The sequence below is a fragment of the Homo sapiens genome, chromosome 5, assembly GCF_000001405.40.
Source record: "Homo sapiens chromosome 5, GRCh38.p14 Primary Assembly".
Taxonomy (NCBI): Eukaryota; Metazoa; Chordata; class Mammalia; order Primates; family Hominidae; genus Homo; species Homo sapiens.
In genome coordinates this window covers 6,472,175-6,497,215 of record NC_000005.10, presented here as the reverse complement: position 1 = coordinate 6,497,215, position 25,041 = coordinate 6,472,175, and the positions used below count along the sequence as shown (strand labels likewise).

Here is a 25,041-nt window from a genome sequence, read left to right as displayed (position 1 = left end):
TGTTAGTATGAAAAGTGAGCTGAAGTACCTCTTCGATAAATTGTGCTTAGGGCACTTGAAAATTGTCATTTTCCAGAATTGTTACTCTGTAAGTTCTCCAAAGAAATAGCTCTATAGTTCAGTAGTAGTTTAGGCTACAGTTTTGTGCTAAGCACACTATTTCACTTATATTGAGAAACTTTAATGGAAATCTTTGTCAATAATGTTTAAGCATCTTTATAATGCAAATGGCAGCTGAAGGAGAAATCTAAATCACACTGATTAGATTAATTAGATTTGGTTCAGTTACATTTCATTGATTTTTGTGGAGAATACGCATGATATACTTCAAGGTTTTCATTTGGCAAACCACGAATGAGTCAAGGGACACAAGATCAGAGGGTGCCAAGTGACAGAAAGTCACTCACCATGGCCCGTGGGGAGAACACATGTGGAGACCCAGATAAATCCTGAGAATTACTGAACACAGACCATGCGAGGACACAGCAAGCATTCCGTGTAAAGACGTTTATTGGTTTTAAAGTTTTATTTTCTAGAATCATTGTTTTTTTTTTCTCATTAGGGCAGTGCCTCTAGATTATTTGACTCATGCACTCACCATCTTCCAGTGGTAAACATTTCTTTCCTGTTGATTTATGCCACATGCGTTTTTTTCTCTTCTTTTGAGGATCACAGAAGAGGACAACTCTGGAAACAGGATACACCAAAGTCTCCCCATGAATTGCGGTGAGAGTCTGAAAGTTCGCAGTCACTCATGGTGTACAGATCAGCATCCTAGCACTGTCATAATGGCAACCACATTCATGAAATGAAGTCACGTTGTAGAGAAGGCAGGCAGGAATGAAACCAAGCACATCAGGTGACAGCAGTTTCTGTGTTAGTTCAATTAGTGTCATCACCAGTGACTGCCCAAGGTCTAGAGGTACAAAACGATTGCATGTCTACAAAGTAGGACAGTCACTTAATTTACCACCAGTAGAAGGAAAGAGAAAGCCACCTCCTGGCTTTAATTCTGCGAGAGACACAGGGTGAATTGGCGGTTGGGGGCAGTGCAGGGATCTCTTTATCCCTCCATGCGGCCTTACTGACCTGGGAGGACGGCCTCGCACCTGACCCCCTCATTGCACTCTATTTGTCTAGCCTTATCATGACCTTGAAAGAAAATCTTGCTCCCCTCTGCTTTGATTGTTGCTGTTTGGCCAGCACACTTTGCTCCCGTGTTTCTTCTGGAACCAAACTAACATTACTTATTGCTTTCCCGAATGTCAACAGAGTTTGTTTGCCTTTCCAGATTATTGACCACATTCTGTGGATCAGACAGGCCCTGGGCTTAAAAATGATATTTAATACTATGGGAACTAGAGGCTGCAAAAATTAGAAGGATAAGTAGAACCTAGCAGAAAACTAAGAACAGAGCTGTACATGATTTCACTGTCTTTGGAGAAAAAAATTACAAAGTTCTGACTACAGTCCCATAGGCTGAGCTCCAAGCCCCTTACAGAAGCTTCCCAAAACAGTTGGAGGGAATTTCTGCCCTTTGCTCCAATTTGCTTTGGGCACAGAATGGATCCTGTGGGTGTTTCTCAGCTGGCTTGGAAGACTTGCAACTGTACTGATTCAATGATGGGGTGAAGAGTGTGTGTTTGGTGAGGGCCACATGAATTGCCTAATAGTCTCATGAAGCAACATAAAGGATCAGAAAGCCACAGTAAGGCAGTGGCCTTGTGGCTCCTGTCCTACTGTGGACAAGCCCCTCAAAGTCTCTGGGCTCGCCTCCTTCACTGCAGAGGGTGTAAAATTAGGCTAAGTGGTCTTCCAGATTCAGTGGCTCTACCCTCACTACAGTCAGGAAGTAAGCTCTGCCCCTTTAGAAAGCAAATTCCATTAAAATTTCGCATGCTATTGGATGGGTACACTGAAATATAATTGCTACACACAGGGCAAGCTCCACACGCCAGGCTAGGCTGTCAGGTGGGACCGTGTCCTGCTTCCTGAAATCAGCTCCATGAATAGGGACTCTGCAGGTGAGAGGTGGCAAGGGGACTCCAGTTCTCCCGTTCAGGGCCAGTGAGGACAGAGTCCACGCTCCCTTTCAAGGTGCCCTCAGCCCCTCCCATTTCTACACCTGCTACACCTGCCCTTCTCCTTCCCTTTGCCCAGCCATGGCTCAAACCTGATTTACTCCATGAAATCTTTCTGGTTTTCAGTCAGAAAATCTCTGGACTTGCACATGTCTTTAATTTCTGCAGTGCAATTTGGCACTTGCCTTGCTTGGTGCTGGTGCCTGTGCGCTATTCCTATCTTTTGAGTTCCTATCCAGGGAAGGGGCTGTACCTTAATCTTCTGCATGCCCTGCATTTAAGAGGAGAATGCTGAGTGAGTGGAGAGATGGCCAGTTAGTTATTGGTTGATTTTTGGGTCAGTTGGTTGACTTAATGTAAGAACTGGGGACAGAAAGCAAGTATATGATTACCAGGTATGTGTATTTTAACCACTGTAATTGATCATTCTGAGTCGATATCTAAGTGGGTTCTAATTAAAGCCTGCTGTAATGTAAACGTCCTAATACTACGAAAATGACACTTACATTTCGTTGACAATCTTTAGTCTCCAAAGCACTTCTGCTGCGTCATTTTGGCCAATTCCCACACTGACCTGGTAGGAGCTCACAGCTGAGGAAACCAAGGCTCAGGCAGGTGGAGTGACTGGCCAGGGTTACATGGACACATGGCTTTTTGTCTTTCAATCCTAGGTCTTTTTCACTCATCTACATATTTTTCTCTTAAAAAAAGGTCAAATTTTGATAGATGGAGCTGAAAACTTTAAGCCGACACCCTGGTTTTTCTGAGTAGTGGATTTTAGAAACAGCAAGTCTTTGCAGGAGTATTGGCACATGTGCGTGTGTGTGTAACTAGGGGGAATAACCTTGCTGCTCACATAGAACTCCCTAAGGCATAAGCAGTTCTCAGTCTTCTAGAAAGTTACAGACAGACCATGTGCAGGCCTTACCCAGCAGTGGAGAAGATACCCAATAACAAGGGTGATTGGTTCAGGAAAATTATTGGACGGGAAGGAGTTCTGCATTGAGAAGAGGACAGATGGGTTTGTGATTTTCTGTTTGTTTGGCTCTGTGGGCTCTGGCTTGGTTTGAGTTCCCACAGATACATGGGTGTGTGGAGCTATCGGGACATGAACATTTGCACCCACTGTCTGATTATTCCCTCGCTGTCTGTCCAAAGAGGAATAGGTTCCTTGGCTTGTGTGGGAACGTGGCCCCAGGCTTCAGGCCTCTCCTTCTCACCCTGGGCTCCAGAGGCAGGTGTCCACTTCAGTGGGGTGGAAGGAGGCTGTGGCCAAGGCACAGGCAGCCAGGCCTGTGCTCAGTGTCCTAAGGGTGCCTCCATGGCTGGGCACCACCGTGCTTGCCTACGAAGGGAGTCTACCAGAAAGGGAGTCCGCACTCCTAACAGTCCAAGCAATGGTAGAGTTTTACATCACTTCCTACTGCTTTTAAAATGAAAAATTCTTACCAATTGAGTGAAAAATGGTATTTCGTTCACTAAAGAATTGATTTCTTCTATAAGTTTCTAACAAACCTAATGGAAATGCCATGCAAGAAAAATCAAACTCTGAGTGTATGGAAGGAGCGACACTGAGCTGAGTGTCTCTCTGCTCTGTCGCCGGCTGCCACCCAGCCCAACCCGGGGTCAGACCAGTCTCTTGGCTGCACCCCTTGGTGCAGTTCTCAGAGAGCACCGTGAACCTGTTTTTCAATCAGCTAATAAACACTACTGAAATGACCTGCCTTTGGATATATTTTTCCCCCTAAAGTAAAGCTGCTTTTAGTTTTCATTAGAAGAGGAAAATATTTAGAAAGGAATAAACTCAGGTGCTTTCCCTAGCAAGATGTTTCTGTCCTAGGTCTTTCATCTCCACAGTGTAATTCCATGATGACCACTAGCTCCAGGGTCCAAAGACCGTCAGCCAAATGTCAGGTTTCCAGGATGGAGAATGCCACCATAGAGGGTTGGATGAATGAACATCGTAAGTTCACTGTCATCAAGTTTCACGACTATTATGACTCACAGGGAAGCTGAGCAGGCCCTGCATTCTTAATACACTGTCATTTTGGTCTGGCAGAGCTGCCTGTGTGCACTTGGGGGCAAATAAGAAAGTGGTAAAGAAAAACAAAAGTAACAATAAGTTTGGTGAATGGGCAGCCCTGCTGAAAGGCGCCAATCCTTGTTCTTTGAGGCAAGGCCTCTTGGATCTCTGAAAACCTTGAACCAATGGGCAGGTCCCCAAGTAGACAAAACTGCCTGAAGAATTGAATACATTATCCCGGAAGACTTTTCCTCCTTCACAGCAGTAAGATACAATTGGCAACATCTGAACTTGATCGAATCATCCCTTCAGCTCCTTGGCTGCTTCTGGGGACTATTTCAATCTACTGAATTTTTGCAAAGACTATGGGTTCCTAAGACTCATTTCTGGTACCTGACTTAGAACGCTGCTCTGGAATTACATGTTGTAGTATTTGCAATATTTAAAAAATTTAAGAATATCTGAAATATTTTAAATGGAAGGATAGCCCACAATGACTGGATCCTTGAGGCAGTGTATCAGGTATGCATGATTTTATTTAAAATGTGTCCAATAAGACTTGCCACTTGGAATGAACATTTTTACTTCTTTCCTCATATTATTAGAAACAGTATTTCCTCATTTCATGGAGTTTCTTAGAAAGTTCTAAGTATTAACAGAAGAGAAAAATGAAACCGTGGGGGAGATTAAATAACAGGAAGTTTACACCACAGCAAGGGTGCTCACCCATCCCAATTTCGGGGGACACACAAGTGACTATTGGGTGAAATAGACCCGATCATGCAAATCATCGTATGATCACTTGGTATCCTTTGGCAGTTCTGACATTCATTGTCACTAGCACAGATATTAAAATGAGTCAGATGACTGCAGTGAATGGGAAATCATCTTTTGCTTTTGGTGGTGGAGAGAAGACAGGAACACAAAGGCGCGGCCGTAGGACCATTTCCTAACATCGGACGAGACTGTTCGCAGCTGACCATCCGTTGCTCTGAGCCCCAGAGGGCGCACCTGGTGTCTACGCCACCGTCTGCCAGGGGTGGTCGCAGTATCCTCTGCCTTCCATCTAATGGCACTGGTTTATCTGTGGACAGCAGCACACCACAAATCAGCATCGAGAGCACGTTTTCACCAAGTGGGCAGTTGTGGTTTTAAATCACTAGAACCTGGCAATGTTAAATTTGTGTTTTCATGAGCCAAAGGTCATAGCACAAATGAGGTCTAAATGTCATCACAGCGGACCATGGGCCACAGAAAGACACATTTTCAAGTTATGTTGACCTTCCAGGAAGAAAAACAGAGATACAGAGCACAGCAAACACGTGCCGGGGACGCACGGCGGAGATGCACGGCGTCCCTGTGAAATATGAACGGCGCCATTTACATGGAAATGGAGCCAGCAGGGGCATTGAGTTTCCTGCCGGCTCGTCGGAGCTGCTGTCATGGAAAGAAGCTCAGGGCAATGTGACCGGGGTGGGCAGAGGGGCAGGCAGGCTGGGAAATGTCACCATCTCAACATGTGTTCTAAAGTGACTTCGAGGTGATCATTCATTTATAATCGAAACATAATCCGAACGGCATTTGCTCCCTCTTCCTCTCTGTACACACATCTTTTCATAAATAACTTAAACGTCTCCTGGGCATTCAGGATGCAGTTCTGGCTGGAGTAAAAACGGGTGGAGGATGCACAGCATTGAGGAGATGTCAGGGTACTGGTGTGTGTGTGGACAGGCGCTCGAGCGTCTACTGCACGTGGCAGACATCAGCCGTCGGACACGGGCGGGGTGACCCAACCATATTTTTCATGCGTCTTCACCAAACTCTTAAAGGTAGCTTCAGCTTCCTTGCGACTGAAGGACTTTTTTGATTTGCCAGCTTTTCTACAGATCCGTCCCTGCGTGAGATGAGAAGAAAAACCAGGTTAGAACGTCACTGGGAATTCTGTTTCCTACCATCTTTATTAAAAACACACAGAGTCGTGGGGATTTCTGATGTCTGAATCAATGCAATGCACTGGCCACCAGCAGGGTGGGGGCAGCCTCACTGCCCAGATGCAGAACAATTCAGCTCTGGCACCAAACAGATAGGGCAGCCTGGGGCTGGCAGCCTTTTAGGGGAGGGGGGTGCTGTCTTTACAAACCCCCACACAGCACTGGCTGAATCTGAACTTGCTCATTCCACAGTGCTGCAGAGAAATCTCTGCCCCAGTTCCTGAGACACGCAGGAGGGGACGGCCTTACCAAAAGGGCATCAATTCACAGCCAAGCATTCTCTCCCTGAGGCAATATACTGTTCGAACTTCCTTTCCCTCCCTCAAAAGAATGCCTTTAATTATCACTTCAAATTCCTCTGTGATAACAGGGAAGATAAATATATTTATAGAGAGATGTGTATATTTGTATATTTCTACTAATATTTAAAACTCTATTTTTTAAAATTCAAGTTCCAGAGCCATTAGTGAATTTATTGGAATTCATGTCACTTCAGCACCATTTTGTGAGGTGACGGTGGACATTTTCATGGAAGAAGAGACCCATCCTCGAGGTCCAAGAGAGGGTAGAGGTCAGGGCAGGTGCTTTGTCACACGATCCCGGGAGGGGGTGGGGCCAGTGAAGAGGGCCACGCTCCCTCACAGTGACCAGGCGTGTTCTGCTCCCAAGGACAGAGCACTTGTCTCTGCAGTGGTCAAAAGGGACTGACCCATCTTATGACGGCACAAGACGGCTCTGGACTATGCAGAAGAAGAAACCAGGCAACACTGCCCATGTGACAATATCTTGGGAAGCCCTGGCAAATGTGGAATATCTGGCATCAGAGGGGAGGAGCAGATGGAAGACAACCAGGAGTCGGGGTGATGCTGGCCTCAGTTGGACCTGTGGCAGCTCTCACACTTCCAGCCTCAATTACTCTTCATTAAGCCTCTTAATGGTGGATCAACTGAAACGTTCCCTTAGCCTCTGAGGCACATTTCCTTCCACTTAACCTCCCCCAGGCTCTCCTGGAAGATCTGCTCCTCTCCTTGGGCATCCCATGTACATGTTTTGCAGATGGGGCAGAAATGCCTGGAAAGAACTGGCTGAGCTTTATGTACTGGCAGGCGCATAATTACCAACCATCGCCTGCTGTTCAGGAACCTTCGCGAACAGAATTTCTCTCTGAACAGACCCTCTGCACTTCCAATTCGGGGCACTGGTGCTACAGCACAACTGTGGGCACGTACTGGGATGTGAATGGGGACCAGGCCTCCCCACCAGCAGCTCCTACAACACACAGCAGCCAGGTGCCTTGGACAGCCATAGAGGGCAGAAGCCATATGGGTCTGTGTGGCCACCAGCAAGCACGATCCACCTGATCCTGGCTCTCTGATAACTCACTGACAACTCCAGTGGGAAGGCAGCTGCAATGGCCTCTAAATCTACTGGGCAGACGGTGCCCAACCACCTGAAACGTGGAGTGGAAGAGGCCATTTCATATGCTTGTATTCGGAGCCTACCTAGGCTTCCTTTTCAATAATTGTCTTTTCAACAGTGGACACACAGGCCAATCCATAGTTGAGGAGTCAGGAGTCCAGGGTTACCAAACTCTGCCTGCTCTGGATATCCCTCTGGTTTCACTTGTGCATCTGTCACTGGGGGCAGCAGAACCTTTTCCTTTTTTAAAAAATTTTTCTTTTTCTTTTTTTTTTTTACAGACAGGATCTTGCTCTGTCATCCAGGCTGGAGTGCAGTGGCGCGATCGTAGCTCACAGCAACCTCAAACTCCTGGGCTCAAACAATCCTCCTGCCTCAGCCTTCTGAGTACCTAGGACTACAGGTGTGAGCCACCACATTTATCTAATTTTTTATTTTTTATAGAGATGGGGTCTCACTATATTGCCCAGGCTGGTCTTGGACTCCTGGTCTCAAGTGATCCTTCCACCTCAGCCTCCCAAAGTGCTGGGATTACAGGCATGTGCCACGATGCACACCTTTTTGAAAACGCTGTATAACTCACATAGGAAGAGTTGCTAAAAGGATGAAGGAAGATCGGAGGAAAAGATGACAGGAAATGGCCATTTATTGACTGCTAGCAACATCCCCATGCCTCACTAGGATTGACTCCTATTTTGAGTTTTATAACTTCAAGCATATTTGCTTATGCGATGTAATTATGCTTGATAAAAAGAGACCACTCAGAGCTAATATATTCATAATCATCATAATTGTGGGCTGAGATCAAAGTCCAAAGTTATCTTATTAAACATATGAAAACACATCTTTCACATCTTTGCGAGGATGTTAGCATCAATTTCTTCTTTTTTTTTTTCTTGAGACAGAGTCTCACTCTGTCATCCATCCAGACTGGAGTGCAGTGGTACAATTATAGCTCAGTGCAACCTTGATCTCCTGGGCTCAAGAGATCCTCCTGCCTCAGCCTCCCAGGTAGTTGGTGCTACAGGCATGCATCACCACATACAGCCAGTTAAAAAAATTTTTTTTATAGAGACAGGGTATCGTTTTGTTGCCCAGGCTGGTCTCGAACTCCTGGGCTCAAGCAATCCTCCTACCTTGATTTCTCAGTGTTAGGATTATAGGCGTTAGCCAGTGTGCCCGGCCAGCATCAATTTCTACATCAAGTGACAGCAAATATCAAGGGTTGATTTTTTTTTTTTTTTGGCGAAAATGCATATTTTAACCATCTGTATCCTTTTTCTCCACAATACTGAAAATCTATGGTATTATTTGAAAATCCTGAACTAAAGGTAGCTAGACCAATAGAGGCTCACAGTCATCCTGGACTATTCTGTGGTTTTTGGCATGAACCCACACTTTGCCTATTCTTTGTGAAAGTCTCAATTGTTACAAGAAACAACAAACAAAACCCCAGAGGAACAGACCACTCTTTGTTGCCTTTTCTTCCCTGGAAGAATTATGAACAGAAAGCCCTAGTGCTTAGTCAATTCCACAGCTGGGAGACAGAGCCCGTTATGAGCCAGTCAGAGGCTCAGCGCATTTATTGCACTACACTGTGATAAGGAGCTCTCATCGCATCTCCTGTCTCTTACACCCACGTTTACAATTAACAGTTTTTTTTTCATAGGTTCATCTTCTGACTGGCTGTTTAAATACGACACAGTGAAATGCTGGACTTGGAAGCCACTCCCTGCATTCCCCCTTTATTTCCTGGCTCTGCCAGGGTCACAGAGCCGTTTTTCTGACATGCCCTTGCTGTGCCCACTGCACCAAGAAGAGGGGGGACCCCTCCATCCCGTGTTCCCTGCTTGCTGCAGGTCTTTGGGAATTGCCATTCATCCTTCCAGGATACAGTCTCTTGAAATGTGAACTTCTGGGAATCAAGTGCAGACGATACCCATGTCACACATCATGACGAACATCCAGTAAGATAATGCATTTGAAAATACTGAGGACTTTGAACTTCATACAATTAACAGCGTTTTTCTTATTCTCATAACATTTACCTTTCTCCCTTGTCTGTTTCTATTTAACTAATAATCAAAGAATCTAGTCTGAGATATTTCCTTTGAATAACTCTCATTTCTTCTAAAATATCTCTACTTGTTCTTAATGTTAAAAGGCATAGATGTGACTCTTCACTCATCCACTACAACAGCTTTGTGTTATCACTCAGAGTTTACAGCAACACTTCCTCTCTTTCCTGAGCCACACATGGTTAAGTGTATATTTATGAACAACTACAGGATTTTGCCATCACCACCTTAAAAGTCTCATTGTAATACAGAAGTCGAACAGTGTTAATGAGAATACAATTCTCCAGGGCTGCATCTGTCAAACAAAACCAGTAGGTGGTATTTTGATTTGATTCTTTTTTTCCCTTATGGCCTTTTGAGGGCCAATAGCAATGATGCAGCATGAAAACATTTCAACACAGCTAATAAGATGACAAGTGGCCCCAAACTTAACTCCCCAGTTCGGCCCCCATGTAATTGAATTTCAGCCTGGCACGTCTGCATCTTCCTTAATTGTCTAATGCTTCTCATTCATTCATTTATGCATTCATTCAATGTGTTAGGTGCTGGGTCAAACAAGACAAAGTGATGCCAGGTCTCTGCCTTTAGGGCTTAGAGTCCACTGTGGGCGGATAACCAGGCATGTTGCAGCTGTTGGGACAGAGGGTGTGGAGCAGGCAGGGTCTCTCACTCTTGGTATTGTTGGCATCTTGGGCCAGGTAATTCTTTGCTGTAGGGGCTATACCTGCATGGAAGGAAGTTAGCAGCATCCTTGACCTTTACCCACTAGATGCTAGTGGCACCCCATGAGTAATGACAGAAATTGTTTCCAGACATTGTTAAACGTCCCCACAGGAGCAAAACCACTCCTGATTGAGAACAACTGGTGTGTAGAACTAAAAGAGCCAGAGGCAGGAAGAGTCAATTCATTCTTTATTCATTCAGCAGACGATTGCTGCAGGTCTTCCCTGTGTCAGGAACTGTGCTGGTGACCGGGACTTCAGAGCTTTCTAAGGAAAATAATTCTGCTCCTTATGGAACTTATAACCCAGACAGTATGACGGATTCTACACTGGGGAAGAGAGAAAGAAAGGAGAGAGAAGAGGGGTGGTGGCAGTGATTTGTGTGTTCAGAAAGATTTCTGTTGACAATAACGTAAGCTAAGCCTTGAGACATAGGTGGGCAGGTGTTTACCAGGCTGTGGTGGGAGAGGACAAGGGGTCCCAAATTGAAGGTGTGAAATGGCTCACTATGCTTGGGGGAGGGGGAGGCTTGGGCATGGAATTTAAGTGTGTGTGTGTGTTTGTGTGTGTGTGTGCTTGTGTGTGTGTGTGCTTGTGTGTGTATTTGGTGGGGAAGGAGTTGCATAATTCAGTAGACCTGGCTTCAAATCCCAGCTCCAATACTTCCTGGCTGTGTGACCTTGGGTGAATCACTTAACCTCTCTGAATGTCGATTTTCTCATATGTAAAATAAGCATTATAATAGTATTATGTGGCATTGGATTCTATAAGAATTTAATATGTTAAAACATAAAAGATGCTTTGCCCAATGCCAGGCACAGGGTGAACACAATAAATGGGGCTTCTTATTTTTTCAGCTATCACGGAAGATCTTCTCCTTTGGTAAAGATAGTTTCATTCTGTTCTCTTGAAAGAATACACCATATTTCTGTCTTTTCATGTAGATTTTATGACGTATTCAGTCACAAAAATGTCCACAGGCAAATTCAGTATATTGCATTTACATAGCTAATTTCTTAGCCTTTTGAATTATGTCTGTCTTAACAGGTTGACATTAATACATTAATTCTATACTTACTTGATTAGCTTTTTCTCTCATTCCTTTTCTTTGCAAACATACTTTCTTGGTATTTTTGTGTTTCATTTGCCTATGAATTACAGACTTTTGCCCTCTAAAAATAGTTAAAATTTTCAGACTGCTTACGTAAAGTTTTGAGTTTCCTGCACTCATTTCCTGAGCCAAAATTACAGAGCTGCTACTTGTTTTTCAAGTCTTTGAAGGAGTAATTGTCAGTCTAAAAGCACTCGTAACCTTAAGCTCCCTGACATGGGTTGTAAACGTGTGCAAGACTCATTTTAGGTTTCCCCTAAAACTTCTATCTGGGGGCAAAAATTAAAGCTCACTAGGCTCTTGGCTTGAGGAAAACCAATGCTTACAAGCATCTTTCAAAGGAGGTCCGCTTTGGAAAGACATTGGGGATTTCACCTTTCTCTTAAGGTTTAATGTTCAAAGCAAATCCTAGAAAAAAATCAACTTGTAAGTTTCTAAAGGACAAATGAGACTCTACAACAGATCAGACTCTTCTAAGAAACACATTCCCAAATCAGATCAATGACACTGAAGCCACTGACAAGCAGGGGACTTCAGCTGGATCTAGTCGGATGAGACAGGAAACAGAAGGATCCAGAGAAGGTGAATATAGCCCTTATTGTGAGCCTGGGGGTGTGTGTGTGCATATGTGAGCATGTGCACGAGTAATGCATGTACATACATATGCATTTGTGTATGTGTGCACGTGTGTTCATTTGTGTGTTTGTGGGTACTTATACACATGTATCGTGTCACATGTGAGCATGTGTGTCCATGTGTGCACATGCAGGTGGCTATGGTGGTTACATTCAAACTGCAGGGACCGATGTGAGCCTCCCTGCTGTGGAATGGCTGCTGACTAGAGCCCACAGTAACCTGAGGGAAGGCTCTTGGCTGAGTGGAGGGAGCCCCAGGCCACATGAGCCAGTTTAATGGGTGGTCCCTTTGCACAGGGAGAGCTTCAGCCTGGTGGGTTCCGAATCTGTCAGAACCCGACCCAGCACTAACCAGTGCAGGGAGGGAACAAGCAGAGAGGGCTGGGAGAGCAGAAACAGGGGAGGGGGAGAAAGACAGGGTGGGAACATGCTGTTGGAGCTGATGAGCCGCCAGTGAGGTCATGTTGAGGTTTTGTCTGAAGTGCAACCCGGGAGACTGCTGAGTCCCCACACCGTCCGCAAGTGCCACGGTGACTGCTCCGTGCTCAGCTCGACTCTGATGTGCGACTGCTGCCTGGCTGTTTTCACATCTCATCTCATTAAATGTTGACCTGGGCAACCTTTGCAACGAGTAGGAAACTGGGCTTCCATTAACTGACTTGCCAAGGGCTATAGAAGAGCTGGGTTCGAATCAAGGACTCCCGAGACTGAAGGCAGAGGCACCGCAGAAGAGCATGCGTGTGGCCTGAGGGTGCCATGAGGGGCAAGACCAAAGACAGGCAGCCTCAGGGCCAGGGCCTGAGGAGGGGCCCAGAATCCTCAGGGAAAGGGCTGGAGGCAGCCACACAGGCTGGGCGACTTCCTCCAGGAAACCAGGACTTGGAGTATGCAGACCAGCCCTCCCTGCTCGCTGCCCCTCCGACGCCAACATGGGCCACTCAGGCTTCTGCGCTCCCTGTTGGGTTTCACTCAAAGTTTGTGCCCAATATGGCTTGGGGTTCCTTTCATCGTTCAGACACCAACAGCAGACTCATTCATATGCATCCCCCATGACTAGCTGTGATTTAGTTCCCAGATCTGGTAGCTAAAAAATGTGTTGAATGGTTTCTGGAAAGTACCAACTCAAAATAGTCACCTCAGAAGCCATAAACCTGATCTTTCGGTTACACTTTCAGAATGCACTGTTTGCCCCAGAGACCTGTTGACTCACGCCCAAGCCAAACACATACAGGCGACCAGAGAAGTGGCTTCACAAAGTAGATGACTAGAACATCCCACCAGATCTGAGGGCATAGAGGACAGTGCATTGGGTGGTGGGGCACGAGGGGCCACATGGCTACATGGACCAGCCACACAGGGATCAGCCACAAGGGAACCAGCCCTTGGCGTGGCTTTAGTGGAAATGACGACTCTCCTCCATGGCCCTGCTCCCACTTTGATAGAGATATGTAGTTTCTGCAGAAAAAATGCACTGGGAAACCCATTCTTATTACAGTAAAATTTCTCTCTCTAGCGAGAATGTTTCCAGGCCTGGAACTGGGACGGAAGGGCTGTGCGTGTCCAGGAGAGGCGAGCAGAGTCCCAGCAGGTGATGCGGTGTCCTCAGGAAGAAGGCTGGCTGCGCCCTGCTGACATGCAGGGAACACGATCCTTCACTCCAAACACACCTGCCGTGCATCACATCTGTGGGCTCCTCATTTTTTTTTTTTTCTTATTTTAGACAGAGTCTCACTCTGTCACCCAGGCTGGAGTGCAGTGGCACGATCTTGGCTCACTGCAACCTCCGCCTCCCAGGTCCAAGTGATTCTCCTGCTTCAGCCTCCCAAGTAGCTGGGATTACAGGCCTGCACCACCACGCCCTGTTAATTTTTTTTGTATTTTCAGTAGAGACGGGGTTTCACCATGTTGGCCAGGTGAGTCTTGAACTCCTGACCTTGAGTGATCCACCCGCCTCGGCCTCCCAAAGTGCTGGGATTACAGGCATGAGCCACCGCACCTGGCCAGGGCTCTCATTTTTAAAGGCGTGTTTGAGCCTATCAAGACGTGGAAGAGAGTGTACAGAATACAGTAAGCATGTCTTTTCTTCTTTGGGTGCTGACAAGAGCATTGGTCTGATCAGAGTGTGTTGGACTCGCAGCAGGGAGGCCTTGCTGGCGTGGTGGGTGGTGCGCAACCACGGATGTGCAGTTTTCCCACTTGGAGCTGGGAGACAAGATGAAAACATCTGGCATCTCTGCAGGAGCAGGTGTCCTCTAGATGAGAGTGCCTCTGCTTGGGCCCTGCTGACGCTGGAGCTGGATCATCCCCAGCTTGGGCGCTCCTGTGCACTAAGGGTGTTCAGCAGCTTCCCTGGGTCATTCCTGACCATGTGCACCGCAGAGTGTTGAGCAGCCTCCCTGGGTCGTTCCCAGCCGTGTGCACTGAGGCTGTTCAGCAGCCTCCTGGCCTCCATTCTCTGAATGCCATTAGTACCCCTCTCCCGAGTGGTGGCAACCAAAAATGTCTCTGCCTATTGCCAAGCACTCCCTAGGGGGCTGAATAGCCCTGTGGAGAAGCCGTGCTCTAGAGTGGACTGTGGGAGTGCAGGAGGGGGTACCTAAAGGGGCTGGGGGCCCAGACGAGTGGAGGAAACTTCCAGGGGAAGGTGGTTCAGGAGCTGAACGCAAAAGACAAGTGGCAATGATCCAACCAGAAAGCAGGAGAGGGGGCAGCAGGAGCAGACGCCACGTGAGGGTGGGCAGTGAGCATCCTGAGGCTTCCGGGAGTCAGAGCTTGCTGGGGGGTGGAGGTGGGCGAGGCAGGGATGGGAGGTGCCTTAGTTTCTTGGGCCTGCTGGAACACAGCACTCCAACTGGGGGCTTGAAACAACAGAAATATGCTCTCTCACAGTTCAGGTGGCCAGAAGTCTGACATGGAGATGAGGGCCCAGGGGAGGGTCTGCTCCAGGACTCTGTTCCAGCGCTCAGGGGCTGCCAGCACCCTTGTGTGCCTCAGCCTGTTGGCACAGCGCTCTAATCTCTGCCTCCATTGCCATACGGTGTTCTCTGTGAATCTGTCTCTGTATCCAAATCTCCCTCTTCTTACAGTGACACCAGTCATTGGATTAGGGACCACCCTAACCCAGCAAGACCTCCTCTCAACTCAATGACTTCTGCAAAGGCCCTATTTTCAAATAAGGTCACATTCACAGCCACAGGGGGTAGGACTTCAACTATTTTGGGGAGGACATAACTCTGCCCACGGCAGGCATAAAGCTGACAGAGAGGCCTTTCACCTGTACCTCAGCACTTGCACCCATTCTGCAGGTGGGCGCACATTGGGCCATGTTTTCCTTGTGGATGGTCATTTGGGAGGTGGTATGGCGGTCAGTTTTGGGGTGTTGTCCAGTTAGGTTATTGTCATGGTCCAGAGAAGATGGCGAGGGCCTGGCAGAGGCCACTCAGTGAGTCCAACTAAGGTCATGTGGGCAAGGCTGGGGGAAGGATCAGTGGGAGGCCCGAGCCACTCCAGGCTTCTGACCCAGGAGGAACAGGTTTCTAGGATAAGATACTGAGTTCTGTTTGGGTTGGCTGGCTTTGAGGTGTGCACAGAAATCCAGGCAGGAGGCTGCTGGGTATAGTGGTGGGAGCTCACACCAGGGAACCTAAATGATGTGGTTCTGCAGGGAGAGGTGTGCGGGGAGGGGAGCGTGCCCCCTCTCTGCTCTCTAGCCATAGGCCCGTGAGCAGGTCACCCTCCCTGCACCTAGCCGCTGCACCCATGTCACTACCCGCCCTCACCTCCTGCATGGGGATAATGAGCACCTGGCGTGCAAGGCGAGATGGGATGGAGGTGGTGGGCCACCATGCCAAGTGACCCGGGGCCAGGCCTGCAGAGAGAGACGCTGTCTTAGGAGCAGGCTGTGGGGTCCTGGGAGGATGGGTGTGTTTGGCTGGGGACAGTCAAGAGGAGAAGCAGGAAATCTAGAAACGGGGAATTAGGGCAGGTGCAGCCACAACGAAGCGTGCACAGGTGAAATGGCCCGAGAAGCACGCTCCGGGCCAACTCTTGAAAAACAGTCATCTGAGATGTGTGATGGTTACTTGGTTTATAATACTATCAAAACCTTAAAAACTCCTATTGACCTTATTTTTTAGCACTCTTTACACATTAAGAAAAATCTGGTTCTTTAAAAAAGTGTAGCTTAGCCATGAACAAGTCCAAAGAGAGCAACCTGTAACCCCCAGAGGTTTATGAAATGCTTGCCACCCCACAGACGTCAAGCAGGGTATTAGGAAATGCCGGCACTCAGAAACTCTTTCTTAAAACTGTGAAACCTCTCAGGATGACAAAGCCAGCATCGGTTTCGTGTATACTTTGGTGATACTCATAAGGAATTAAAGCGAAGCCACTCTACTTAATACTATACAAAATCCTCCAGCTCTGGCAGCACCAAAGGCACAGTTCATGGGCGCTTACAAAACAGAAGCAGCACTTGCCTCTACATTTTAAAGAAAGTACTAGCAATTACTGAACTGTTTTGAAACAGATGGTACTTTCTTGGAGGAAGCAAGCGCAGAAAAAGGAACTTTTTGCTAAAAATGTAATGATATGAGATAATCCTCTCAAGGTTATTTTTTGGAGATCCCACTAATACTTATACTTTTGCATAGGCAGCCGGATCCCAGTGGGTTTCATTAATGTGCACTTTAAGACAGGTAAGTGACAGATACGCTCATTAGTGACATCGTGGTGGCTGTGTCGACTGTGTCGAGGGCTGTCTGAGCCAGGCCCTGTTCTCAAGATGGGGCAAACACTCTCACTGAACCATACTGAGACACTCCAGCAGGTGGGGTCTGCTGTCATCAGGTCTATTTTACAGACGAGAAAATGGAGACACACAGATCAATAAGGTGCTTGGAGTCACTCAGCTAGGAAGTGGCCAAGGGCCAGGATCCCAGTGCAGGAATTCCTGGCTTTGGAGGCCACACTCTGAACCCCAAGGCCAGGCCAGCTCTCAGAAACGTGCGGAAGGGTCACAGATGTAAGAGAAGGCAAACAAGATACTGACCATTCACTCAAACAAACAAACAAACACAAACGAAAAAAGTGACCCGCCTGGCTGTGCCCCCTGGCACTGGATGCTCCTTGGCCACCAATTACCTGTGTCTCTCTCAATGTCATCTCAACAGGGAGCTCCTGGCCAGCCATCCTGTCATTTGCCACATGGTTTATGTAAGCCCCGAGATGATCAGGGCCCTGAGTCTACCTTTACTACGTACATTCTGGTCTTTGCAGCACATGTGGGGGCCTCGGCACACGCTACCTGCCTGACGTGGTGAACAGGGTGGGTGACCTCCCTGGTGAGTCTCTGTCCCGAGATGATGGGGGCAGTCTGTGTTTGTCATTTTGGCCAGGACCAGAATGCAAAAGGAAGCTGCTTTTCTTGGGCCGCACCCAGGATGCTGCACTCCACTCTCAAGGCCGAAACACTTACTCAGCACAAAGGAGACCCCCGGTCTGTGTTTTCTCCTTGTGAGATCATTCCAGCTGTCTTCACAGAGGATTCTGGAAAGTCTTAATGAGCACAGCCTCTGCCCTTTTTATGATGGACAGACTCACCGGAGGATACAGACATCAGCACCTCTTCATTTGCTTCAACATTTTACTCCTTGGACTTGGCTCCATTAAGGCACACATTTCCCTGACTAGCCCCAGAGACCCCCCACTTTCTTACTGAAGTCGCCCCTAAGTTGAAGTCAGCTCTGTCTGCTCCTACGCTCAGTGAGTGACCTGCAAGAAACAATGGTGTTCTCCTACCCAACTTGACCTCTTAGATCACAATCCGGCCAGCTCTTTTCCCTGCACAGTTGGTCTTCCTCAGCGTTCCATGTTTTTCCTTCTTCTTGGAACACATACTGAACAGGAAGAGAATCCAGGGCCCCATCGCTATCTCAGCCCACCCATTCTCGGTGGCTTAATTCTCACTTTCGCCCTCTTGTTCCGGCAGGTGGGACTCTGCTCACTCAGCTCTGTGGCCTCCCGTGCTGTGTGTCCCTAGATGCCCACGGCTGCCTCCACCCTGCCACGCCTCCCTGATTTCAGGATGAGGCACTGGGGATCCAACAGACTCCTGATGCTGCACACGATAGAAGGGACGCCCCCAGGGCAGGCAGCTCTGTCATGAGGCCTGGCCTTCCTCACTCCTAGGAAGGATGAAGCCCCTGAGCAGGAAGGAAGCAGAGGGGAGTGGAGGGGTGCCAGGGAGATCAGATGCACCGATGGGCACCCACTCTCCATGTCTCCTGCCTTTTGCCTGTTTCCTGACAGAATGCATCTGCACGTCCTAGGATCACTCTCCCACGTGCGCAGGAGATCATCCACCTGCAGCCCTAAGCCCTTGCCTGTGGTCTGCTGTGGCTTTGATCACCCGTGCCATTGGGTGATCAGGACACTTCATTTCACAACTGCTATGGCCCAGCCTTGCTGCGGAACAGTTCTCTCAGCACAGATAGTAGGTACGGCGATGCTGTTAAAGTCCAAAAAAAAAAAAACCGAAAGAGACCAAGAATGTCACTAGGAAATGTGACAGGAATCAGAGCCTGGGAATGAATTTGTCAAAACAGAGGCAGCCACCATTCGCTGTCTGCCCTGCTAGCAGGAGCTTCACGACTTTGACCAAAAAGCCCAAACTTAGTTGTTCTAGAAATATTGCATCAAGAAGGAACGCGTGATTTTCACAGACAACCCAGGTAAATGGCGCCTGGTGCTTTCACTGCTGAGGTGGCTTCAGGGAGGCTTTGCGCTTGATGGTGGCAGTTCACGGCTGTGGTCTCTTTCCAAGCCATGTTACTTACAATGACAGAGAAAGCTCATGTCATACAGCATGCTCAGCACTAGAGTTTCACAATGCAGAAGGAAATTCAGCAATGTCAAAAAATAAAGTAAATGAGATTTTGGAACCACTGGAAGTCTTCAGATATATTTTCAGGTAAAATTTCCGTGTGAAAATATGATCTGGGCACAAACTCTATAAAAGATAGGTTACTTTCTCAAATAGTCTGTTTTTGCAATAAAGCACAGCAATAATAAGACTCTACATGGATTATTTACTTCACCTACTTTGTTACTTTTCTGATTTTTAAAAGAAGGAATTGTGCTCATAAAGATGTGAGATTTAATTTATGCCCCTAGAGATCCCCAATACCTGCCAAGCAGGTATTTGACTTTATTCTAGGAGGGTGGTTTCTGGGGAGACACCAGGTCTGTCTTTTGTCTGGCTTGCTTTCTTGAGGCACTGAGTGAAGCTGCAACTTGTGCGATATGGGATATGGATGAAACCTCCTGGAACAGCCTTGCATATGCAATTTGTTTCCAAAGAACCACCCAGATTTGGTCAACAGCCCACTTGGTCTTTGGCTTACACGTGCCACATGGGGGAACTCTTGAAATTCCCGCCTGCAGCCTCTCCCTGCCACCCAAATGCCAGTTCCACACACCCGCGTCCTGCTGGACACTTCCACCAGGCCAGCAGCTGCTGTCTCCATGTGGATGTTGTAAGATCCAGCTCATCAACTTTCTGCCTAAATGGTCTCTCTTTTAACCTCTTTATTTTGAACAAAGCCCCACTGACTTCTAGTCAACCATTTCCTTAAAGTCTGGAATGTCACCAGGTCCAGCCTTGGGTTTTGGTGGTGGGGGTGGTGGTTGTAGGGCCTCCGGGCACACCTATCCTCAGCAGGCTGATCTCCGGGCGCACCTGTCAGCAGGCTGACCTCCGGGCACACCTGTCCTCAGCAGGCTGACCTCCACGCACACCTGTCCTCAGCAGGCTGACCTTCAGTGCAAGGAGTTGTGCTCCGTGTGCAATTCACCAAGAATCTTTGGCATGACTAAAATGGCGACTTGGTCTGCAATGGTGGCAGGGTGACTGGGAGGAGGTCACGGCCAGGCCAAAGGTCAGTTTGTGAGGCCCAGTGAGGCCTGGGGGGCACGTGGAGGTCAGGATGGAGAAGCACACAAGGTGGGCTGTTTGAGACAGTGTCATGGTGATCACTGGCCCTGAGAGTGTGGGCGCTGGTGTAGGCATGGGGGTGTGTAGAGGGTCCTACTTCCTGCCCCTGTCCCTCCCCAGGGCACCCTCATGTGACTGTGGACCTCCAGCACTGGTGTGGGCTGGTGGTCTGTGGGCTTCCATGTGGGCCATCCTGGGGAGGATGGGGTGAAGGTGGGAATTTCGGGGTCCCTGGAGTTTGGGTCTGGTTTCCAAGGGGAAGGGGATGTTTCCACTCTCTCTATGCCAAGAGGGGGCCACTCCTGTCCTTGTGAATGGCAAATCATTATTGGTGGCAGCTAGTGTCCAGTGAAGACAACGCCGTTTGTTTTTACAAATCTCAACTACATTTTCCTGTGAAGAAACCCATTAATTAGCAAGTGGGCATCTCTCATGTGATACGACCAAAGGTCACTCCAGGCAATGAAAGGAACCAAAAGGTACTGCCCCAAACCTGCCATGCATTCGCAGAGTGTGCTTTGCTTTCTGCAGCAGTTCACAAATATTATATAGTAAGCTTAGGAGCAGGTAAAATAGTGTACACCTGAGGGGTGCCGCATGTGGCTCTTTAACCGAGCCCCCCAGGTGTTTCCGTTTTGAGGTCATTGTCTCATTGAGTCAGGACAGCACAGCCCTGGCAAAGCTTCTTCCTGCAGCAACCCTGACCCAGCAGCCCCGTGACCCAGAGGGCAAACTCCAAACACATTCTTAAAATGGGATGTTTTCACCCGTGGGAAAATTAGACCTTTAAGTGCTGAAAAACTTTTAACAACCAAACACCTCAAAATAAGCTGGAACCATGCTTGGTGCATTTGCCCTGAGGGCACCGCGTTGACTGCTTTATGCCTTGGCTGCTCCTGAGGTGCTGCTGAGGTGCAGGCTCTGCAGAGGCAGCAGAGGTGTCTCCTCTGCACAAACATCGGGACCCCACCCCCTCCCTGCTCAGGCCCCGCCTCCTAGGAATAAGGGAGCCCCAGTGCCACTGGAAAGCTCCCTGAGCTTTCCAGATACTCATCCATGACTAAGCAGGCATACCCCACCCTGATTTTGAAGTCCTGAAAGTGTTCTGAGCCATTTCAGTGGGTGTGATGAACTTATCACAAGTTATCCTAATATACTTTAAAAAATAAGTGTATTTCATAAAGCATTCTTTCCGACAGGTCTTGGGGTTAAATCCAGCACCTATCAGCAGGGGCCAGGCCCTGGAGAGCCTGTGCGTTTCTGCCCAGCACATCATTGCTCTAGCTGGTTCTCCAGCTTGCTCCACAGGGGCAGGGCTTGTCTCTTGTGGGCGGGGTCCTCTCCAGCTGCAGGCTGGAGGGCCAGTTCCCTTCCAGCACCTGGCAGAGCTTCGGCTTCAAGGCTGAAGTCTAATGCTCCCTTTACAATGACCCTGCCTCCTCCAGCACCACCCACCCCACCCCCCATGCTCACACTTCCCCCGGGCCCTGCCTTCCTACCCCTTCCCTTGGCTCACACTGGTTTCTTGTTAAATTAAGAGCTCTCAGTGAGACTCCACCCAGCAGTGTGCTACAAATACTGGATAAAAGGAATGGACCGAAGCCATTTCAGGGCCATACAGTATCATTCCACCTTTCCAGACTGGCTGGTGTTATACAGGTGATGTAAATGAAACCCAGCACACACTTTATGTTTGCAAGGAAATAGGGGACAAAGATACGGCATAAGATAGCTTAGTCAGTGTAGACAAAGCAAATTCGGGATCTCTGTGGAAAATGCCGTGTTCTATTATCGTAAAAGAGTCTTAAGAATGTAATCAAGAGAGGAAGTTGATTCTAAGTTCAAATTCCTAGTCTCTGGTTGAAAAGCTTAGAAAACTAAAGGACTGCTTTTGATTGACCTAATAAAATTAACAAGAGATTTTCTATAAGCAACTAGGATGGCTATTATTACTTTTAGGTCATTACTTTGGGAGATGTTCTGATTTTAATTCTTTTATTTGTATAAGGGCATTGCAATACAATCTCGGCTTTTTGATTAAGAATCATAATAGCTAAAGAAAATAATTCAATCGGTGATTTTTACAAGCGTCACTTGAAATCTTCACTGTTTATCTTATGATAGAATATAGGGAAAGCTGCGCCAGTCACTGCCACAAGGACTTCACATGCACACACATGCTCAGTCATCATCGGGGAAAGACTGCTCCAGCCTCTCCTCAAGACGGAGAAACGGAAGCACAGATGTAAACTGCACAATGCCATGCAGCTGTCAGGTGCTGGAGGTGGGATGTGACCTGGTGGGACTCCAGTTGGGTTCTGGAGACTGTGCTCAAAGCCCCTTCTCACCACGTGTGAGGATGGAACCTCCAGGTGATGCCCCACCACGCATTATTCCAGTACTAAAGTGCTCACTGCCCCTCTCAGGTGCTCAAGCTTATTTACTGAGGAATGAACGACGAAGCCTGTGGGGTTATCACTATGAGTCTGAAGGCCCCCGCATGCCACAGTTAGAATTCCAAAGAAAGGATGGTATGCATGTTACCATTTTCCAAAATGTGTCCCACGCAGTATTTTACACATTATGTCATCTAATTCTCACCCAGGAGGGAGATGCACTTGGGATTTTTCAAATGATTGATGAAGAATGAAGGAGCAAGTAACTTCTCTGTGGAAGTAGAGGCAGGAAGAGGCAGTGCCTCACCAACCCAAGCCTCATCCCGGCACTGGAGTTGGAGCCCTGTGATGTCTGAGCATTGGCAAGAAATATCAGCACCCTGCTGGCTCTGGGAATTTTTCAATAACGTCTCCTAAGCCAGGACTTCCCAACCTTCTCCGGCTATAGCATGCCCCACTCCAATGCCATGCACGTACTCCTGGTTGTTAACCTCCTAAGCACGGGTGCTCCATGCTGGAAGATCCACATGCAGGCATAGACCGTGGTGTACCAGCCCTCAGGCTGTACACTACACACCACGTGCACAGGCAACATCATTTTAGCCCTACAGGCTTAAAGCTTCTGCCAGCACTCAAATTCTGATCTCAGCTTCCCAATAAGTATCTTTTAGAAGGTAAATGTTTTCAGGAAACTGGACTTTCAAAGTAAAATCTTTCAATTTTACTGAAAAGACCGTATGCAATATGTTATGTTTGCAGCCAATAATTTTTTGAGGGCCTACTGTGGAAGGCACTAAATCAGATGTTAAAGGGAGCTAAGAAGTAAGTCATCAAAACTGCCCTTTTCCTAGTAATGGAAAAGTTAATCCCAGGTATATTTGGTGACATTTTAAATGGCATAAGAACAATTTTACAGATTAATTTTCCTGGCTTTGTTATTGTGATATTTACATTGGCTTGTGGTAAGATTCAAAGGTAACAAAAAATCAAGCTTCTTCAATCTCCATATTTGAAGCAGCAAAAATAAGTTTTGTGCTGGCTTTGTTTGCCTGGCTCTTACGGTACTGAGGTTTTCTGCGTCACTGGGATGTGACTTTCTGTTGACCTCATTATTTGTAGATGCTAGAATTGCCTACATAGAAAATCCTAAAGGCTCAGCTATTTTTGAGGAACTGAATTTGTTAGAGAGCGTTAATGCTCCACAAATAGCCATGTGGGTCCTTACATTTCTGCCTCCCTTGCAGTCAGATGGGGCCATGTGGCCAGTTCTGGCCAGTGGGTGGTGAGCAGAAGGAGGCGTGTGTGTTCCGGGTGGAGACAGTCGGGCGCTGATGCTGACATGCTCCCCTCACCCTGCTGTCACCCACTGCTGCTGTGAATTTGGAGGCTGTGTGCTCCAGATAGAGAGCAGACACTGGCCTGTATTAGACTCTGTGCCAGAATATATGTTTCCTGTATTAAACTGCTGAGATTTCAGGGTACGCTCTTGTGTGGAAATGAGAGTTCACTGATCAGAGTAAATTTCTTGACAAATAATTGAAAAATTACAAGGTCCACAAAAAGCTAAGATGATTTTGAAAAGGAAGAGCAGAGGGGGTTGTAGTCTGTTGGCTGTTGGACTAGGAGGCCGCATTCCTAAAGGCAGTGTAATATTTGTACAGGAGCAGGAAAATTGGGGAACTGAGCAGAAGAGAGAATTGTATTTACATGGGACTGTCATGGGATAACAATGGCAGCAGAAAGCCGTGGGAAAAGACCAGGTGGTTCAGACAATGGGGCCAAGAAAAGTGTTTACTGCAGAGAAAGGAAGCTGGGTGTCTACCTGGCAGCTCACATGGAGAAGGGCTCAAGATGGATGAAATCCAAAATGTGAAAGGAAAAGCTCTAAAGCCAGTGGGAGGAGGCTCAGGAGGATGCCTCGTGATGGGACGGTGAGGAAATGGTCTTCCCAAACAGCCTCGATCATAATGTAACTTGTTCAAAATTAGGGAGGGCTTTTTTTCCTCAATAAAAGATGAGAAAGAGAAGAAGATAAAGAAAATTTGGGGAGAAAATATTTGTGATGTCTAACACTTGCACAAAAAATTAATACCTGGAAAAAGAAAAATTTTCTGAAAATTGAGAAGAAAAAGCTAGACAACCCGGACACAATGCAGGGAAGGGAAAGAAGATCAGCAGATGTCTAAAGAAGAGACCTGAATGGCTGACAAGTATGCAGCGTGATGTCCAGATCCCAGTCATCAGGAAAGCACAAGGAAAGCAGCAGTTAGATGCCTCTAGGGTCCTGTCAAGGGGCAAAACAGAGGGGAGGACGATGCCAGGTGTTTGCGGGGAAGTGTGTCGATCGGCCGCTTCCAGAATGTCAAAGGCATTCTGGAAGTTTCTGGCAATACCTCGAGACAATCCACATACCGAGGCTCGTGCTCTTGTGAGCTCACAGCTGGGTATCAAGCCCAGAAGATCCACTTGCAGGTGAGTAGCCATATTCCTGTGACCACAGGGAGGTGGGAGATTGCTGGCATCCCCAGGGGAGTGGATGAGCAAAATGTGATCAATTCACATCTTGGAAAAATATGCAGGTGTGAAAAGCAA

The 25,041-nt window shown here is 47.5% G+C and overlaps 1 protein-coding gene across 1 annotated transcript in view, besides 4 other annotated features; it reads right to left on the bottom strand.

Annotated features, from left to right (window-relative positions):
* Nucleotides 1-492: 492 nt before the first annotated feature.
* Nucleotides 493-25,041, bottom strand: part of UBE2QL1 (ubiquitin conjugating enzyme E2 QL1) — a 47,865-nt gene continuing 23,316 nt past the window's right edge. The window contains exon 2 of the mRNA NM_001145161.3: nucleotides 493-5,998. Within this exon, the coding sequence (NP_001138633.1) occupies nucleotides 5,867-5,998 (132 nt within the window). The 3' untranslated portion in view covers nucleotides 493-5,866. The remainder of the gene's footprint in view (nucleotides 5,999-25,041) is intronic.
* Nucleotides 4,104-4,203: a silencer, noted in NCBI's record as "silent region_15897". NCBI's record gives its function as "represses an Ori minimal core promoter by ATAC-STARR-seq in GM12878 lymphoblastoid cells {active_cell/tissue: GM12878}" and the evidence as "EXISTENCE:reporter gene assay evidence [ECO:0000049][PMID:35858748]".
* Nucleotides 12,903-12,992: an enhancer, noted in NCBI's record as "active region_22333". NCBI's record gives its function as "activates an Ori minimal core promoter by ATAC-STARR-seq in GM12878 lymphoblastoid cells {active_cell/tissue: GM12878}" and the evidence as "EXISTENCE:reporter gene assay evidence [ECO:0000049][PMID:35858748]".
* Nucleotides 13,013-13,332: an enhancer, noted in NCBI's record as "active region_22332". NCBI's record gives its function as "activates an Ori minimal core promoter by ATAC-STARR-seq in GM12878 lymphoblastoid cells {active_cell/tissue: GM12878}" and the evidence as "EXISTENCE:reporter gene assay evidence [ECO:0000049][PMID:35858748]".
* Nucleotides 16,487-16,536: an enhancer, noted in NCBI's record as "active region_22331". NCBI's record gives its function as "activates an Ori minimal core promoter by ATAC-STARR-seq in GM12878 lymphoblastoid cells {active_cell/tissue: GM12878}" and the evidence as "EXISTENCE:reporter gene assay evidence [ECO:0000049][PMID:35858748]".